The 17,085-nt window shown below is 40.8% G+C and overlaps 1 protein-coding gene across 17 annotated transcripts in view; it reads right to left on the bottom strand.

The window, feature by feature from the left end:
• ST3GAL5 (ST3 beta-galactoside alpha-2,3-sialyltransferase 5) overlaps positions 8,817-17,085 on the bottom strand; it is a 51,915-nt gene continuing 43,646 nt past the window's right edge. For 12 of the 17 annotated variants that reach the window (NM_003896.4, NM_001354226.2, NM_001354233.2 and 9 more), the window contains 2 exons: positions 16,093-16,251; positions 8,817-12,089 (listed from right to left, as the gene is read on the bottom strand). In NM_003896.4, the coding sequence (NP_003887.3) occupies positions 11,841-12,089; positions 16,093-16,251 (408 nt within the window). In that variant the 3' untranslated portion in view covers positions 8,817-11,840. The remainder of the gene's footprint in view (positions 12,090-16,092; positions 16,252-17,085) is intronic. The other 5 variants (NM_001354234.1, NM_001354238.1, NM_001354247.1 and 2 more) reach the window with 2 other exon arrangements.

The raw sequence follows: 17,085 nt of genomic DNA on the forward strand, positions 1-17,085 counted from the left end.
TGGTGCGCCTCCCCTTTGCTTTGACACCGCCTTTGTCATGTTGACTTGTTTAGCATCTTTTCCCTCTAGACTGAGGATCCAGAACAGTAGGCAGGGTCCATGTTAGGTGCAGCCTGTCATCAGCGCCCAGCCATGGCTCTCTGCAGGCCATGGGAACTAAAGGTGGCGGTGCTGGCAGGGCAGGATAGGAGGTGGCGCCAGGAGCCACAGGGCAGTATTTCGAGGACAGCCCTGCTGGGTACTAAGATACAGCCAAGAGTGTCTGGAATGATGGGCAGAGCATCAACTGGTTTCAGAGTTTGAACAAATGGTGTTCAGAACAGCATGTTCTGCCAGAATGGTCAGCCAGACTGCCAGGACTGAGGGTCCTACAGAAGGACCCCCTTTGTCATTCTCACTTCCGTATTCCAGAACCGGGGGTATTTTAGTGTGTGGGAAAATAAAGCAATCGTTGAGTTCGATTTCAGTCCCAAGTTTTGGAAAACGTGTGGGTGCATCTGCAGTAGATAGGTCTCAGCACGGCCTTTGTTCCAACCCAGTCAGAACTCAACCAGAATTGGGGCCAGTAGATCCTTGAGCCAGACAATGACAACATGGAGGTACCCATAAAGCCTAGGGGTGACAAGCACCCAGCCATGCCATTCCTGTGGATACGAGGGTTGTTGGCCCATAGGACAAACTCTTCACAACATTTCCCTCTCCCTTCCCTCTTGCAGCTAGTTGCATCAGTGGGTGGTAATAGAGGTTCTGAATTTTCCCAGTGCATGGGCGGGACGGCTGAGGGGCTCCATGAATGCAAGTTTATTACACAAAGGAAGTCACCTATCTCTTTATGTACATAGAGACTTCCAGAAGGCTAAAGAAATAAAAAATGATCTAAATGAGCTTTTCTCCTTTGTATTTCATATTTCAGTGTTACAAATATATAAAATCTTTTTTTGGGGGAGTATTCAAACTTGGACAATACAAATTAGGCAGTCCAGGGGCTGGGCATGGTGGCTCACACCTGTAATCCCAGCATTTTGGGAGGCCAAGGTGGGTGGATCACTTGAGGTCAGGAGTTCAAGACCAGCCTGGCCAACATGGTGAAACCCTATCTCTACTAAAAAAATACAAAAATTAGCTGGGCGTGGTGGTGGGCACCTGTAATCTCAGATACTCAGAAGGCTGAGGCAGGAGAATCACTTGAACCTGGGAGGTGGAGCTTGCAGTGAGCCGAGATGGTGCCATTGCACTCCAGCCTGGGCAACAGAGCGAGACTCCATCTCAAAATAAATAAATAAATAAATAAATAAATAAATAAATAAAAATTAGGCAGTTCTTTGTTTCTGCAGGAAGCTTTGACTCTGACAAACAGGAACAAGACTGTGGTCTTTGAATCTGGCTCTTTACCTCCAGCCAGAATCTCCTCAAAATCGTTATCCCAAACTTGCCCACTTCCTGAAGACAGATGATTCTTTCTTGTGGGGAAGTACAATGCAGGAAGTGGGCAAGTTTGGGATAACGATTCTCTGCTAAATGGATTGAAATTTAACATTGGAAATTAGTCCAATGTAGTCATCCAGATAATGAAAATTAAACTATATACATCTCTATTTGTAGTAGAGATGGGGTTTCACCATGTTGGTCAGGCTGGTCTTGAACTCCTGGCAGGAAGTGAGCGAGGGAGAGGGGTGGGCAGAGAGATGGGAGAGGGAAAGAAAATCAGGACTGCCTCTGTATGGAGGGGGACTGAGGAAAATTCTGGAGACACTTTGAAGTAGCTTCAGGCTGAGACAGATGTCATCAGGAGAGCCCCTTCTGAAAGTGACTCCAAACATCTTGGGATAAAGGTGTTAAAAACATAAACTAGGTCACTAGGAATAAGTATATAAAGCAGTGAGTGTGCTGGTCATATTGTCCAAAGACAACCTCAGGATATTTGACTTGCTGACTGGGCAGTGTAGGAAGTGAGGTTGCACACCCCAGTGTGCATGAACCTGAAAGGAGCTGCTCCTCTGTGAAGCAGGAGGTTGAATGAGGTGGTTTTTCTATGCCTTGTCAGTCTTCTGTGGGACTAATAGTGGTCATGTTGGGAGAGCTGGAGAGTTTAGCAAGAAGACAGGAGGCCTGTCCCTCTGACCTCTCCTTAGCTGCCCCCCTGGCATCACAGTGCACACCATGTTCTTAAATTTAGGCCAAGTTTGCCGACAAAAGTGATATAGGTGAGCCATCGGCAAAAGATGGAGAAGGGAAGGCCATTGACATGCTATTCCACTCAACCTTTTGTTCGAGGACAAGATGCTTGGTTTAGGCTGGAATCTATAGTTTCATTTGTTTGGAATCAATGTGTGCTATGGTCTGAATGTTTGTGACCCCCAAATTCATATATTGAAATCAAACACCCAATATGACGGTGTTTTGAGGTGGTACATTTGGGAGATGATTAGGTCATGATGGTAGAGCCTCATGAGTGAGATTAACACCCTCACAAAAGAGGCCCAGAGAGCTCCTACACCCCTTCCACCATGAGAGGACACAGCAGAAAGATAGCCATCTATGAACCAGCAGGTGGCACCTCACCAGACACTGCACCTTGATCTTGAACTTCCCAGCCACCAGAACAGGGAGAAATACATTTCTGTTGTTTATACACCACCCACTGTATGTTATTTTGTTGTAGCAGCCTGAACACATGAAGACTGTGTGTGTGTGTGTGTGTGTGTGTGTGTGTGAAGGTTTTGAAAGTGACCCCCTTTTCAGCTTATCACAATGGAAGCTCACGCAGCTCTAGAACAAAACCCCATAATCAAAAGGTCTTTTGTCCACCATTATTTTAAATACAAGGTTGTATTTAAATGATCAGATCTGTAGTAATTACCATCTTTTAAAAATAATCTTTGAGTATATAATGATGGCCAAAAATTTTTAAAAAGCAAATATGCAATACAATAGAGTTATATTATATTGGTTTCCAAATTCCATGTAATAAACTCATGACAACTGCCTTGAACGCAAATCACAGAGCCTCTGACTCAGGAATTTCCCTATTAGAGTCTGAAGCTCCAGCCCACACTTTGATATACCTTGGCAGGTCTCTGAAAAGGTAGGGTACACATGTATTTTGTAAACTTCAGCAGTAAGCTGGTTTTCTAAAATGTATGGATATGTACACAGACATTAAATGGGCCTATCTGGCTTTTGACACTTTTTAAAATACGATTTAAATCACTAGGACAATTACATATAAAAAAAAGCAACTGTTCATTTATTGCTTCAGTTACCTATATTCCATTCCTCTTAGCATAAGACTCCCTTATCCCAGATTCTAGACTCAAGAGCTCTTCATTGTATTCAATCTTAGACCATCAACTGCCCATCTTCATGTTCCACCAAAGATATGAAATCAAATAAAATCAAAACATATTTATTTAATGCCTACGACAGGCGAGGCCTTGTTATAGGTTCTTGAGATGGAATAATAAAATTCTTTCACTGCAGAGTTTATAACTTAGTTACAGATGTACACTTGAATTACTCATTGCTTTAGGGCTGATGGTCAATTTCTTCCCACTTCAAATGAGCCAGTCTGATGGGACATCTTGATATATTATGAGTAACAGTCAATGCGAAACTACTTTTTCATTTGACTACTGTTCTTGTTTTTTTTTGAGACAGAGTCTCACTGTGTCACCCAGGCTAGAGTGCAGTGGAGGGATCTCCCCTCACTGCAACCTCTGCCTCCCAGGTCCCAAAGTGATAGGGTTAGAATGTAGCCAAAACGAAGTGATCCATGGTTTTAGAAATCTTTAACAGGCTGGGCATGGTGGCTGACACCTGTAACCCCAACACTTTGGGAGGCTGAAGCAGGAGGATTGCTTGAGTCCAGGAGTTCAAGACCTGCCTGAGCAACATAGTGATACCCCCATTTCTACAAAAAACTAAAAATTAGCTGGGTGTGGTGGTGCACACCTGTAGTCCTAGCTACACAGGAGGCTGTGGTGGGAGGATTGCTTGAGCCCAGGAGTTTGAGGCCAGCCTGCACAGCATGGTGAGACTCTGTCTCTACACAAAATAATTTGCTGGGCACAGCAGTGCCTGTAGTCCCAGCTACTTGGGAGGCTGAGGGAGGAGGATTGCTTGAGCCCAAGCATTCGAGCCTGCAGTGAGCTATGATAGTTTTCAAGATACTAGAAAAGTAAAAGAAAAGAAACTAAAAAAAGGAAAAGAAGAAAAAACTCACTAATGTGCAAAAAGAAAATATTTGAAGGTTTAAAACCCACTGGTAAAATTAAATACATGGATAAACCCAGTATTACTTTAATACTGTAATTGTGGTATATAATCCACATCATAACTATGGTATACAAATCTATCTATCTAGTATAAAGCCCCAAATACAAATCTATCAAAAACAATAATAGTTATAGCAACCTATTAAGAGATAGGGAATATCGGCCAGGTGTGGTGGCTCACGCCTGTAATCGCAGCACTTTGGGAGGCCGAGGTGGGCAGATTACGAGATCAGGAGATCGAGACCATCCTGGCTAACATGGTGAAACCCCATCTCTACTAAAAATCCCAAAAATTAGCTGGGCGTGGTGGCAGGCACCTGTAGTCCCAGCTACTTAGGAGGCTGAGCCAGAAGAATGGTGAGAACCCAGGAGTTGGAGCTTGCAGTGAGCCAAGATTGCACCACTGCACTCTGGCCTGGGTGACAGAGCAAGACTCTGTCTCAAAAAAAAAAATTAAAAAAAAAAAGGGAGATAGGGAATATAAAGATATATAAATTGAGATAATATAAAGCCAAAATGTGGGGAGGATGAAGTTAAAGTGTAGAGGTTTTTTCAGTTTTTTGTTTTTACATTTTTCTTTGTTTCTATTTTCTGTGTGATCTATGCTGCCATCTCTTTAAAATAACTTGTTGTATCTGTAAGATTTTTTTGGTAAGCCTGATGGTAACCACAATGCAAAAATCTATAATAGATTCACTAAAAATAAAAAGCAATGCGTTAAAACATACTATCAGAGAAAATCACTTACCACAAAGGAAGACAGTAAGAAAGGAAGAGAGGAGTTACAAAACAACCAGAAAACAAGCAACAAAATGGCAGTAGTAAGTCCTTACCTATCAACAAAAACACTGAATGTAAATGGACTCAGTTCTCCAATTAAAAGACATAGAATGGCTAAATGGATAAAGAAATAAGACCTGACTATATGCTGCCTACAAGAAGATCATTTCACTTCTAACGTGAAGGGATGGAAAAAGATATTCTATGTAATTGGAAACCAAAAAAGAGCAGGAGTAAGTAGCTGATATAAGTAAGTACTTACATCAGATAAAACAGACTACAGATCAAAGACTGTAAAAAGAGACAAAGAAGATCACTAATGATAAAGGGAATAATTCAGCAGGAGGAAATATGTATCAATATCTATGTACTGAACAACAGAGCTCTCAAGTATATAATGCGAACATTAACAAATCTAAAGGGAGAGATAGACTGCAATACAATAATAGTAGGGGACTTCAACATGCTACTATATGTGATGGACAGGTCATCCAGACAGAAAATCAAGAAACACTGGAGTTAAACTACACACCAGATCAAATTAGGCCTGACACTTACAGAACATTTTACCCAACTGCTGCAGAATACACATTTTCTTCATCAGCACATGGAACATTCTCCAAAACAGACTGTATATTAGGCCACAAAACAAGTCTCAACAAATGCAAAAAAGTAGAAATCATATCAAGTATATTTTCTGATCACAATGGAATAAAACTAGAAATAACAAGGGGGGCCTTGGGAAATACACAAACACATGGAAATTAACACACTCCTGAATGACCTAGGGCCAATAAGGAAATTAAGAAAATTTTAAAAATTTCTGGAAACAAATGAAAATGGAAAATGACATATCAAAATGTGTAGAATACAACAAAAATAGTACTAAGAGGGAATTTTATAGCAATAAATGCCTGTAACAAAAAAGTAGAAAGACTTCAAATAAACAACCTAATGATGTACCTCAAAAAACTAGAAAAGAACAAACTAAACTCAAAATTAGAAGAAAAGATATAAAATTCAGAGCAGCAATAAATGGAGACTAAAAAATAAAGAAAATCAATGAAATGAAAAGGTTTTTTTTTTTTGGCAAAAACTAAATTGACAAACCTTTAGCTAGATTAACTAAGAGAGAAGACTCAAATAAATAAAATTGTAAATGAAACAGGAGACATAACAACTGATGCCACAGACATACAAAAAATCATTAGAAGCTGTTATGAACAACTACATGCCAACAAGTTGGAAAACCTAGAACAAATGGGCAAATTCCTGGACACATACAACCTACCAAGATTGAAACCATGAAGAAATAGAAAATTTCAACAAACCACTAATGAGTCATGAGATTGAAGCCATAATAAAATGTCTCCCATCAAAGAAAAGTCTAGGACCTGATTGCATTATTGCTGAATTCTACCAAACATTTAAAGAAGAATGATGACCAATTCCATTCAAATGCTTCATAAAAATTGAAGAGAAGGGAATATTTCCAAACTCATTCTATAAGGCTTGCATTACCCTGATACCAAACCAGACAAAGACACAACCAAAAAAGAGAACTATAGGCCAATATCACTGATGAACATAGATGCAAAAATCCTCAAAAAAATACTAGCAAATGGAATTCAACAACACATTAAAAAGATAATTCATCATGATCAAATAGGATTCATCCTAGGGATGCAAGGATGGTTCAACATACAAATCAATAAACACAATATATCGCATTAAGAGAACCAAGAACAAGAACGATATGATTATTTCAATAGATGCTGAAAAAGCATTCAATAAATTAAACATGCCTTTATAAGAAAAAAACCTTCAACAAACTAGGTATAGAAGAAACATACTTCAAAATAATAAAGGTCATTAGCTATGAAAAACTCCTAGCTAATATAATACTGATAGGGAAAAACTGAAACCCTTTTCTTTAAAATCCGGAACCAGACAAAGATGCCCACTTTCACCACTTTTATTTGACCTACTACTCGAAGTTTCAGGGCAATAAGGCAAGAGAAAGAAATAAAGGGCATCAAAGAAAGAAGTTTAAATTAGTCTTGTTTGCAGATGACATGATATTATACTTAGAAAAACCTAAAGACTCCACCAAACAACTGTTGGAACTGATAAGTGAATTCAGTAAAGTTGCAGCATTCAAAATCAACATACAAAAATCAATAGCATTTACATATCCCAAGAACAACAATCTGAAAAAGAAATCAAGAAATCAATTTCATTTATGGTAGCTACAAAGAATACAAAATACCTAGGAATCAATTTAACCAAAGATGTGAAAGATCTATCCAAAGACAACTATAAAACACTAATGAAAGAAACTGAAGAGGGCACCCCAAAATGGAAAGATATTTCACGCTCATGGACCCGATGACATTCTTCACAGAAATAGAAAAAATAATTCCAAAATTTACATGGAACCACAAAAGACCCCAAATAGCCAAAGCAATCCTGAGCAAAAAGAACAAAGCTATAGGAATCACACTACCTGACTTCAAAATATACTACAAAGCTATAGTAACCAAAACATCATGGTACTGGCATGCAAAGACATCAGACCAATGGAACAGAATAGAGAACCCAGACCCAGATATAAATCCATGCGTTTATAGCCAACTCATTTTTGACAAAGGCACCAAGAACATACAATGGGGAAAGGAGAGAGTCTCTTCAATAAATGATGCTGGGAAAACTGGATAGTTATATGCAAAAGAATAAAACTGAACCTCTATCTCTCACCATATACAAAAACCAAAGCAAATGGATTAAAGATTTAAATCTAAGACCTAAAACTATGAAACACTCCAGGACATTGGTCTGGGCAAAAATATTTTGTGTAAGAGCTCAAAAGCACAGGCAACCAAAGCAAAAACAGACAAATAGAATTACATCAAGCTAAAAACATTCTGTGCAGTAAAGGAAACAATCAACAAGTCAAGAGACAATCCATGGAATGGGAGAAGATACTTGTGAACTATCCATCTGACAAGGGGTTAATAACCAAAATATATAAAGAGTTCAAACAACTCAAAAGTAAAAAACAAACTGATTTTAAAATGGGCAAAAGATCTAAAGAGACATTTCTCAAAAAAAGACAGAGGGCCAAGAGGTATATGAAAAAAATGCTTAATATTACTAATCATCAAGAAATACAAATCAAAACCACAATATAATCTCACCCCAGTTAAAATGGATCTTATTAAAAAGACAGGGAATGTAAATGCTGGCAAGGACGTAGAGAAAGGAAACCCTTGCGCATTGTTGGTGGGAATGTAAATTAGTACAGCCACTATGGAGTATTGCATGGAGGTTCCTCAAAAAACTAAAAATAGAATTACCATCTGATCCAGCCATTCCACTACTGATTATATATCCATAATAGTCTGTTTTCACGCTGCTGATAAAGACATACCCATGACTGTGAACAAAAAGAGATTTAATTGGACTTACATTTCCACATGGCTGGGGAGGCCTCAGAATCAAGGTGGGAGGCAAAAGGCACTTCTTACATGGCAGTGGCAAGAGAGGAGGATGCAAAAGTGGAAACCCCTGATAAAACCATCAGATCTTGTGAGATTTATGCACTACCATGGGAACAGTATGAGGGAAACCACCTCCATGATTCAAATGATCTCCCACAGGGTCCCTCCCACAATACATGGGAATTATGGGAGTAAAATTCAAGATGAAATTTGGGTGGGGACACAGAGCCAAACCATATCAATATCCAAAACAAAAGACATATTGAAGATATATCTATACTCCCATATTTATTGCAGCGCTATTCACATAGCCAAAACATGAAATCAACCTAAGTGTCCATCAATGGGTGAATGAATAAAGAAAATGTGGTATATATACACAATGGAATATTATTCTGCCATAAAAAGGTTGAAATCATGTTATCTGCAGCAAGATGGATGGAACTGGAGGTGATGTTAAGTGAAATAAGCCAAACACAGAAAGACAAATATCACATGTTCTCATTCCTATGTAGGAGCTAAAAAAGTGGATCTCATGAAGATAGAGAGTAGATTGGTAGTTACCAGAGGCCAAGAAGGGTAGGGGGAAATGAAGAGAGGTTGATTAATGGGTACAAACATACAGTTTGATAAAAGAAACAAGACCTAGTGTTTGATAGGTCAGTAGAATGCCTATAGTTTACAATAATTTACTGTGTATTTCAAAATCACTAGAATAATTCAAATGTTTCTACCATAAAGACAAATATTTAATGTGACAGATATCCCAGTTACACAGATTTGCTCCTTATAATTACACAAATGTATTACATTATCACATGGACCCTCAAAATATGCACATCACTATGTATCAATCAAAAATTAAAATTAAAAAACCCTAAAACTGAAATTTTCTGCAGCTCAAAGTTCTAGAAGCATGTTAAAATACAGAACATGTGTAAGTCTTCCTAAGTTGCCTCAGAACCAGTGATTTCATTTATGTCGGAGGGTGTGTGTGCGGGTCTAGAATGCAATACAAAGCTGTTAGTGTGGCAGTGAATTCTCAGTTACTGGAGATCAACTTTAGAACACCCAGAGGCACCTAGCAAAGGTCTGTTTTCAGAAGAGTGTGTGTGGGGTGGGGGAGTAATGGGGGCACAGCTCTGAAGTGAAGATGCAACTTCCAACAAATGAATGCCAAAGTGTGAAAAGTTCTTGAGAATGATCTCCAGCCAACTCCTATTGGCTGGTGGACTCTATAAAAGGTCTACAAAAATATACCTTTTTAGGGTATCTGCTTACCACCTGAGTAAGTAAAAGTTGAGAGACATGAGCAAAGCAACCTAAGGATGCAAGAAGGGCCTTACAGGGAGGAGGGATGGGGATGGGAGCAGGCCTGAGAATGGCTGCAAGCTGACCAAGTGGAAGCTTTGAGCACCACACATCCCAGCAGCCTTGAGAAGCAGGTAGGCAAGTCTCCTCATACCAGCAAGGAGGCGCTCGTAGCATTAAGAACGTTGTCTGAGGAAGTTCCGGCTTCTCCAATAACCCCCTGAGGGATGTAGGGGTGGAGCTGTGTGGTGTAAGCCCAGCACCACCTGAGCCACAAGGGAGCTGTGGACCATCTTCCAGAGTCTCAATTTTCTAAACTCATTTGATGGGTGATAATCTTAAAACATTTTCTCTTAAACAAGCAGTAGCTTATAGAGTAGGAAATAAAATTCATACAAAATTATCTGTAAAGACACAAAACGAGAGAAATATGACTTTTGCTCTCCTGGCCACTCTGAGCTGGATCCCAGACCCCAGGAGACAGAAGGGACTCTGCTTTGAATGCTATGACCTGACTCCTGGCCCTGCATATGGTGAGGAGGAGGGAGATGGGAAGACGTTCGAATGGGCTGGGGCCAAGGCTGCACTGGGGCTGCACAAGCAGTTGCAGGAAGGGAAAGTGGAGGCAGGTAGCATTAGTGACAAGAGCAGCCACAGAGTGGAGAACAGCGATGGCGGCAGCCGAGTCTGGGGCAGGCTGGGAACAGAGTAGCAGATCTTCTGATATCAGAGGCTAGAGCCATTAAGAGACAGAAGCTAGGGGCAGCCTGTCTTTGGGGAGGAAGCCACCGACACCCAGCATCTCTTCAGAAGGGTTCACAGTTGTCTGGACTCAAGCAGCTTGCAGGACCAGGTGCCTTAATTCTCTGTCCCTCACTACTGGCATCCACAGAGAGGTCTCCGCCTAGCAGCAGCATCCAAGAAGGAGGTTTTGGGTAGATTCATAGACATAAGCACCCAAATTAACCAGACTACGAGAGTTCCTCAAAAGTTTTTATTCTTTTTCATCTTTTTAAACTGGCACACTGCCTGGTATACACCGCCAGGTAGGCATTCAGAAAAGTTTCTTTTTTTTAAATACACAATTTATAATACTGGGAAGATTTCATTTCAGTGTTTCCCAAAACATTATTCCTGGAAAGGGTGTACTCTCCCATGACTCTGGATAATAGAAGTTTTGTTCTGATTTTTTAAGTCACCTCAGACAGACACTGGAACACGTTAGATCTAACACTTAAGTGCTTTGAAAGGGCAGTAAAAAATCCCCAAGGAATTCAAGAATTGTAATAATTGCTGGGAAGACTGTGGTTTCTGTAGCCCAGGGTGGCTTCACAGTTGTCAGAGGTCACAGATTCTATGTCCCTCTCCGACCAGGGACCTCCAGGACAGCTTCCCTGGTTGGTTCTCGAGTCTTTCAGCAGAAGGCAGACCAACAGAGAAGGGTTGTGACCTTCTCCAACCAGCCCAGGCCTCACGCCGCTGCATCGCAGACCCAGTATCAGCAGCAGAGCTACGGAGCACGTCATCCTGGGAGTGGATCCTCCGTGGGTCACACCAAGCAGCGCAGCAGGGAACCAGAATGAGGTTCAGGGCCACCATCAAAAGAGTGACCTCCCCTCTCCTTCCAATTAGTTACCTGTATTCAATGTGCAGTGTAAACGAGCAGAAGTTTTACAAATTAAATTACTTTCTTAAAAATCAATACAACATCGTTACATACAATTCTCTTTGAGAAGTCTTTCCAATTCAATTCTTAAGTTTCATTTACAAAATGGTGTGCAAAAACAAACACTGACCTCAAATAAATAGGAAAAAAAAAGTGGGAAGAGCTAAAATTTTTTTTGTGTTTTTAAATTAAAAGTTAAAAACATGAGCTGCACTTCAAAGTATCTGCAGGATGGAGAAATACATCAAGAAGGCTGTCAAAAACAGCTCTCAGAGTTAGAGTTGCATTTTCAACTGAGGTTTTCTGTGTTCAAAATTCACGATCAATGCCTCCACTGAGATCTTTCACCACTCCCTCTTTGACCAGCTTTAAGAGGAACTTGGTTTCCGTTGTCACATTATGCATGGTCTGAAAGTTCATAGCAGCCATGCATTGACTGTCGAAGTAGTGCAAAGGTGTTCTGGGTTGATTGAGGTCATATCCAAAACCCGCCAAACTGACTTCATCGCACAGATGTGTGGCTAAGACAACGGCAATGACACCGATTGTGGGGACGTTCTGAGAAAGGGAAAAGAAGACCAAAAAGTAAAAAAAAATTTTGGCACAAGTCACCATTTTGCTGGTATTACACATGCTACGCAGAGTCATGAAAGCTACATTGGGGGCTGCAATTTCATACATCACATAATTTTATACATCATGAACTTTAGAGTCCAACTCTCCATTTAAGTCAGGAATCTAGGCTCTAAAACATGGTCTGTGATGTTCACACACTTTCAAGGGGCAGCCTGACAATTCTTACACCAAGTTAAAAGGTATTCCCCTTCTAGGCCAGGTGCGGTGGCTCACGCCTGTAATCCCAGCACTCTGGGAGGCCGAGGTGGGCGGATCACGAGGTCAAGAGTTTGAGACCAGCCTGGCCAATATGGTGAAACCCTGTCTCTACTAAAAATACAAAATTTAGCCAGGTGTGGTGGCACACGCCTGTAGTCCCAGCTACTCAGGAGGCTGAGGCAGGAGAATCACTTGAACCCAGGAGGCGGAGGCTGCAGTGAGCCGAGATCGAGCCACTGCACTCCACCCTGGCGACAGAGCAAGACTCTGTCTCAAAAAAAAAAAAAAAAAAAAAAAAGGCATTCCTTCTAAAATGTCTACCCCACTGGTCCTTCCTATATGTGATGCCCAGAATCATTAAAAAAAAAAATAAAAAAAAAAGCCTACTTCCTCTCTCAATGACAAATGTCTATGAGGTCTGCTCTGGGAGAGGTGGCCACAGGACCTTCCACGGTCCTTCCCAGGGCACAGTTTCTGGAGCCCATCCCTTCCTGAGAACAGAGGATTCTCAGTTCTCACTGCAGAAGACTGTGTTCACACACCAGCAGCTACATCCCACTTAAGGGCCCCATTGGCTTTGCTGGCAAATAGCACTTCCAGGCCATTTCCCTATGTAGAGCTGCTAAGCCAGTTTCTTCCCACCGTCTGTTTGGGCAAGTAAATTTTGTTTTTTTTTTTGAGACAGCATCGGTCTCACTCTGTTGCCCAGGTTGGGGTACAGTGGCGCGATCACGGCTCACTGCAGCCTTGACCTTCACAGGCTCAGGTGATCCTCCCACCTCAGCTTCCTGAGTAGCTGGGACTACAGGCATGTGCCACCATGCCCAGCTACTTTTTGTATTTTTTTGTAGAAATAGGGTTTCACCATGTTGCCCAGGCTGGTCTCGAACTCCTGGGCTCAAGCAATCCTCCCGTCTTGGCTTCCCAAAGTGTTGGGATTACAGCCATGGGCCACCATGTCCAGCCTCAAGTACATTTTTAGTCCTGAATTAAATATTTCCACATTTGTTCCTTTAAAAATGTATCCTACTGACCTTGGCCTAGAATCTCCATTGTCTAAACCTTTCTAGATTCTGATGGTGTCCCCACTCCCTCCTCATGTCTGGCATCTTGTCTTGCTTCCTGGAATGTGCAAATCTGACATCGTGCTTTCTGGATCTCCATGCCAGCCTTGGGTAAAAACAGTACACAGGACAGGGAGGAATACAGAAGGCCCTGCAGCTCACTAGGCCTCCTCAAAGGCTGCCACCAATCTACTACTACTCTTACTATTAGCATCCTTTTGTATAGTTTTTCATGGAAAAATGTGCCTCTCTTTTCATTCATCTTAGTTGAGCTTGTGGCTGCCATAAATATAACTCTTCTTTTTTGTAAAGTGGAACAACAGTGGACCCTCCAGAGTTCACAGATTCAGGTGGGATTAGGGAACATCTACTGAAGCCATCATTTGTTAAAATCTGCTTCCTGCTCCTTGATGCATCTACCTCTCAAAGCCAACCTCACCTGTTAAAAAGGAACTCAACAGCCATTCTGCATGCTTGGAAATAGAAACCAAGAGAAATTAACACAAAGGACACTTTCCTCCTGTTTAGCCAGGGCTCTAGGCGTTGTTCTGTCTTCTCCAACCATGTACCCCCAGTGACCATCTTGTCACACAGGGAATATTCAATGTTTGTCGAAGGAGTGTGTGAAATCAACTGTCCATTGGGGTGATATATGGAGAGAACTAAAAAACCGATGAAAAACTCCCCAAAGCATGTCATCTCTATAGCATGCCCTTTGAGATCACATCTCCTACTGCTCAACAGGCTTCTTCATCTGCTGGAAGGACATATACATGAGGAAGTTTCTGATACTGCAACTTTAGATCAGAAGTCCTCTTTTAAGTTACTGTTTTTATCCAAAAGAAAAATGCCATTTTATCAATTATAAAAATAGGAAAATATTCAGTTCAACTAACAGACAGATTATAAAGCAGAAAGTAGAAGTCTTCTATAGACTTCCCCTCTGAAGAAGGGCATTCTTCACAGGCTGGTGTCTATTTCCAAGCTTTTATACTAAACACATACTTTTATTGTTAAAGTGTTCTGTATCTTTTTTTTTTTTTTTTAAGATGGAGTTTCACTCTTGTTGCCCAGGCTGGAGTGCAATGGGGCGATCTCGGCTCATTGCAACCTCCGCCTCCCAGGTCAAGCGATTCTCCTGCCTCAGCCTCCCAAGTAGCTGAAATTACAGGCACGCGCCACCACGCCTGGCTAATTTTATTTTTAGTAGAGACAGGGTTTCTCCATGTTGGTCAGGCTGGTCTCGAACTCCTGACCTCAGGTGATCTGCCCGCCTCAGCCTCCCAAAGTGCTGGGATTACAGGCGTCTGCAACCGCGCCCAGCCTAGTGTTTTGTATGTTTATTTTCTCACTTAATATACTATGGAGGTGTTTTCCTATATTCTTCATCCTTAACAGACAATACTGCATTGACTTTATCATAATTTGTTTAAACAATCCCATAATAATGAACATTTAGGCTGTTTTTAGTCCTCTGCTGTTAATGCTATAGTGTACATCCTAGAATATCCATCTTTATAAATTTCTCTAATTTCCTTGTAATAATGTTTTTAGTGTAAAATTGGTGGGTCAGAGATGATTCGTATTTAAAATGGTTTAATATTGCCAAAATATCCTCCAGAAAAAGTGCCAGCTGATCATTCTACCTACATTCCTGCCAAACAAGGACATTATCAAACTTTTAAGTCTTTGCTAAGAAAATGGGCAAAAATACTATTGTGGCTCTAATTTGCTTTTATTTGATTATTGGTAAAGTTGAACATTTTTACATGTATTCTTTGGCTATTTTAATTCTTCTTTTGTGAAATGTCTATTCCTATTTTTTGCCCATTTTCTATTGGTTCATCTTTTTCTCTTTGATTTAGTAAGAGCTCTTTGTATTCTGAGAGTGTTTATTCTCATTGTACATGTGATAATTTCCACACAGGTCTTAAGTTTTAAAGACACCAGTCAAGTTATTCAGATCAAGAAGCCGCAAGTAATAAAGGCATGCACACCCCCACGCCCCTGGTGGCAGCACTTGCTAATTGCAGGTAAAGAATCTCTACTGCAATAAACAGCCTAGAGCACAAAGTTCCCAAATTAGGCTGCAAAATAAAAATCGTCCACGGAATTTAGAAAATCTTAAAACACAAAACAATTAGAATGTCTGAGATGAGACCCAGGCATTAACTGAAAAACACTGTTCTTGAGGATTAACTTTTATAACTATCACCTACAAAGTGATGATAAAAATCAATACTCACCTGAATGGCCCACAGAGTGAAAATGTAAATATGACTTTTCTCTGGGGTACAAAATTTTTTAAATTTTTAAAAAATTAAAAAATAAAATGTAAATAACTTTTCAGATCATGAAAGTGCCTTTCAGTGTCCTGCAGTTATATGGAGTCCTGGAGTAAGAATACCTTAAAATAGTATCTCAGTGATTCAAGTGTTAATGTGCTGCCTACACTAAAGAGAAGAGTCACTGGAGAGAAGGCCAATTAAACAATGAGGAGCCCTGCAGCCAAGTGCAGAGTGGTAAACACACATGGAGCATCTAATCACAGGCTGGGTTTCTCCACTGGAGATGCTTCTGGGTATACAGTTGAGCCAAAGTGAAATTTGTACACATCGCCCCTCAAACAGGGAATGATTAACTTTGAGTAGCAACAAAAATACCTTATCTCGGCCCCAGAACCTTGACTGAGGCTCTGAGTACTGAAGGATGTCAAAGGCAGTCTCTTTGATGATAACTGGATTCAAAATCCTGAAATGTTTTGGCTGCAGTGGGATTTTTTCTGCCACCTGCTTCCAAAAGAAGAGTCGTACCCAGAATGGCTAAGGAAAGCAAGCAAGCAGTTGTTAGTCATCCTTCTAGGGGAGGGGAGAAAGCATTCCCACTCATCAGACCAAGGCTGTGGGTGTGACCCCATGTGGCCCTGTGCACTGCCTTCTGAAGCAATCTACTCCTATAGATTGCAAAAGCTACGCAAATCCGGCACTCCAACTCAAAAAAGTAACTCTGAAATAGCCACTTCACACAGGCGGCACTGGACAAAGAGATGAATTGCAGAACCAGCTTGTATTTGTTTGAGGTAGACATTCCTCAATGGTGCTAACACCATCATTTTGTCTAGGGAAGCCCAAGTGAATAGGTCCAATTTAAGGCTATTAAGTGCTGAAACTGCCCTCACCTCGCATCCTCTCTCACTTACTCTATTTCCTAGTCCCATGAAGTCGTTTCATATATGCTTCATCTTCCAACTAGAACTTCTGCCCAATAGAAAATCCAGAAGACCATGATGACTGATATAGAATCAGCTTTGGAAATACAAATTTGTCATCACATGGAGTTTACGTGAAAAGTTGAATACGTCCCATTAGTTTCACAGACAGCTAGTTTGTGCATATGTCTATACATGTGCATACACTCCTCGACAGCTGACCTCTGAAATGTATTTGAATATAATGGGTGAGACTATAAAGTAATGTGACCAATAAAGACAAAAGGAATATGACCAAGTGAGGGCCATCTCCTCCATAGCTGCCCTTCTGGAATGCCATGAATTTATTCCAACAAGGGAACCACTGACCAAAGCATTTTTGGAGCTCTTTAGAGTATTCCTTGATTTTTATATGCTTTTGAATACCCTCAAAAAGGCTTATATCCAT

Source organism: Homo sapiens, chromosome 2, assembly GCF_000001405.40.
Source record: "Homo sapiens chromosome 2, GRCh38.p14 Primary Assembly".
In the NCBI taxonomy this organism is placed as follows: domain Eukaryota; kingdom Metazoa; phylum Chordata; class Mammalia; order Primates; family Hominidae; genus Homo; species Homo sapiens.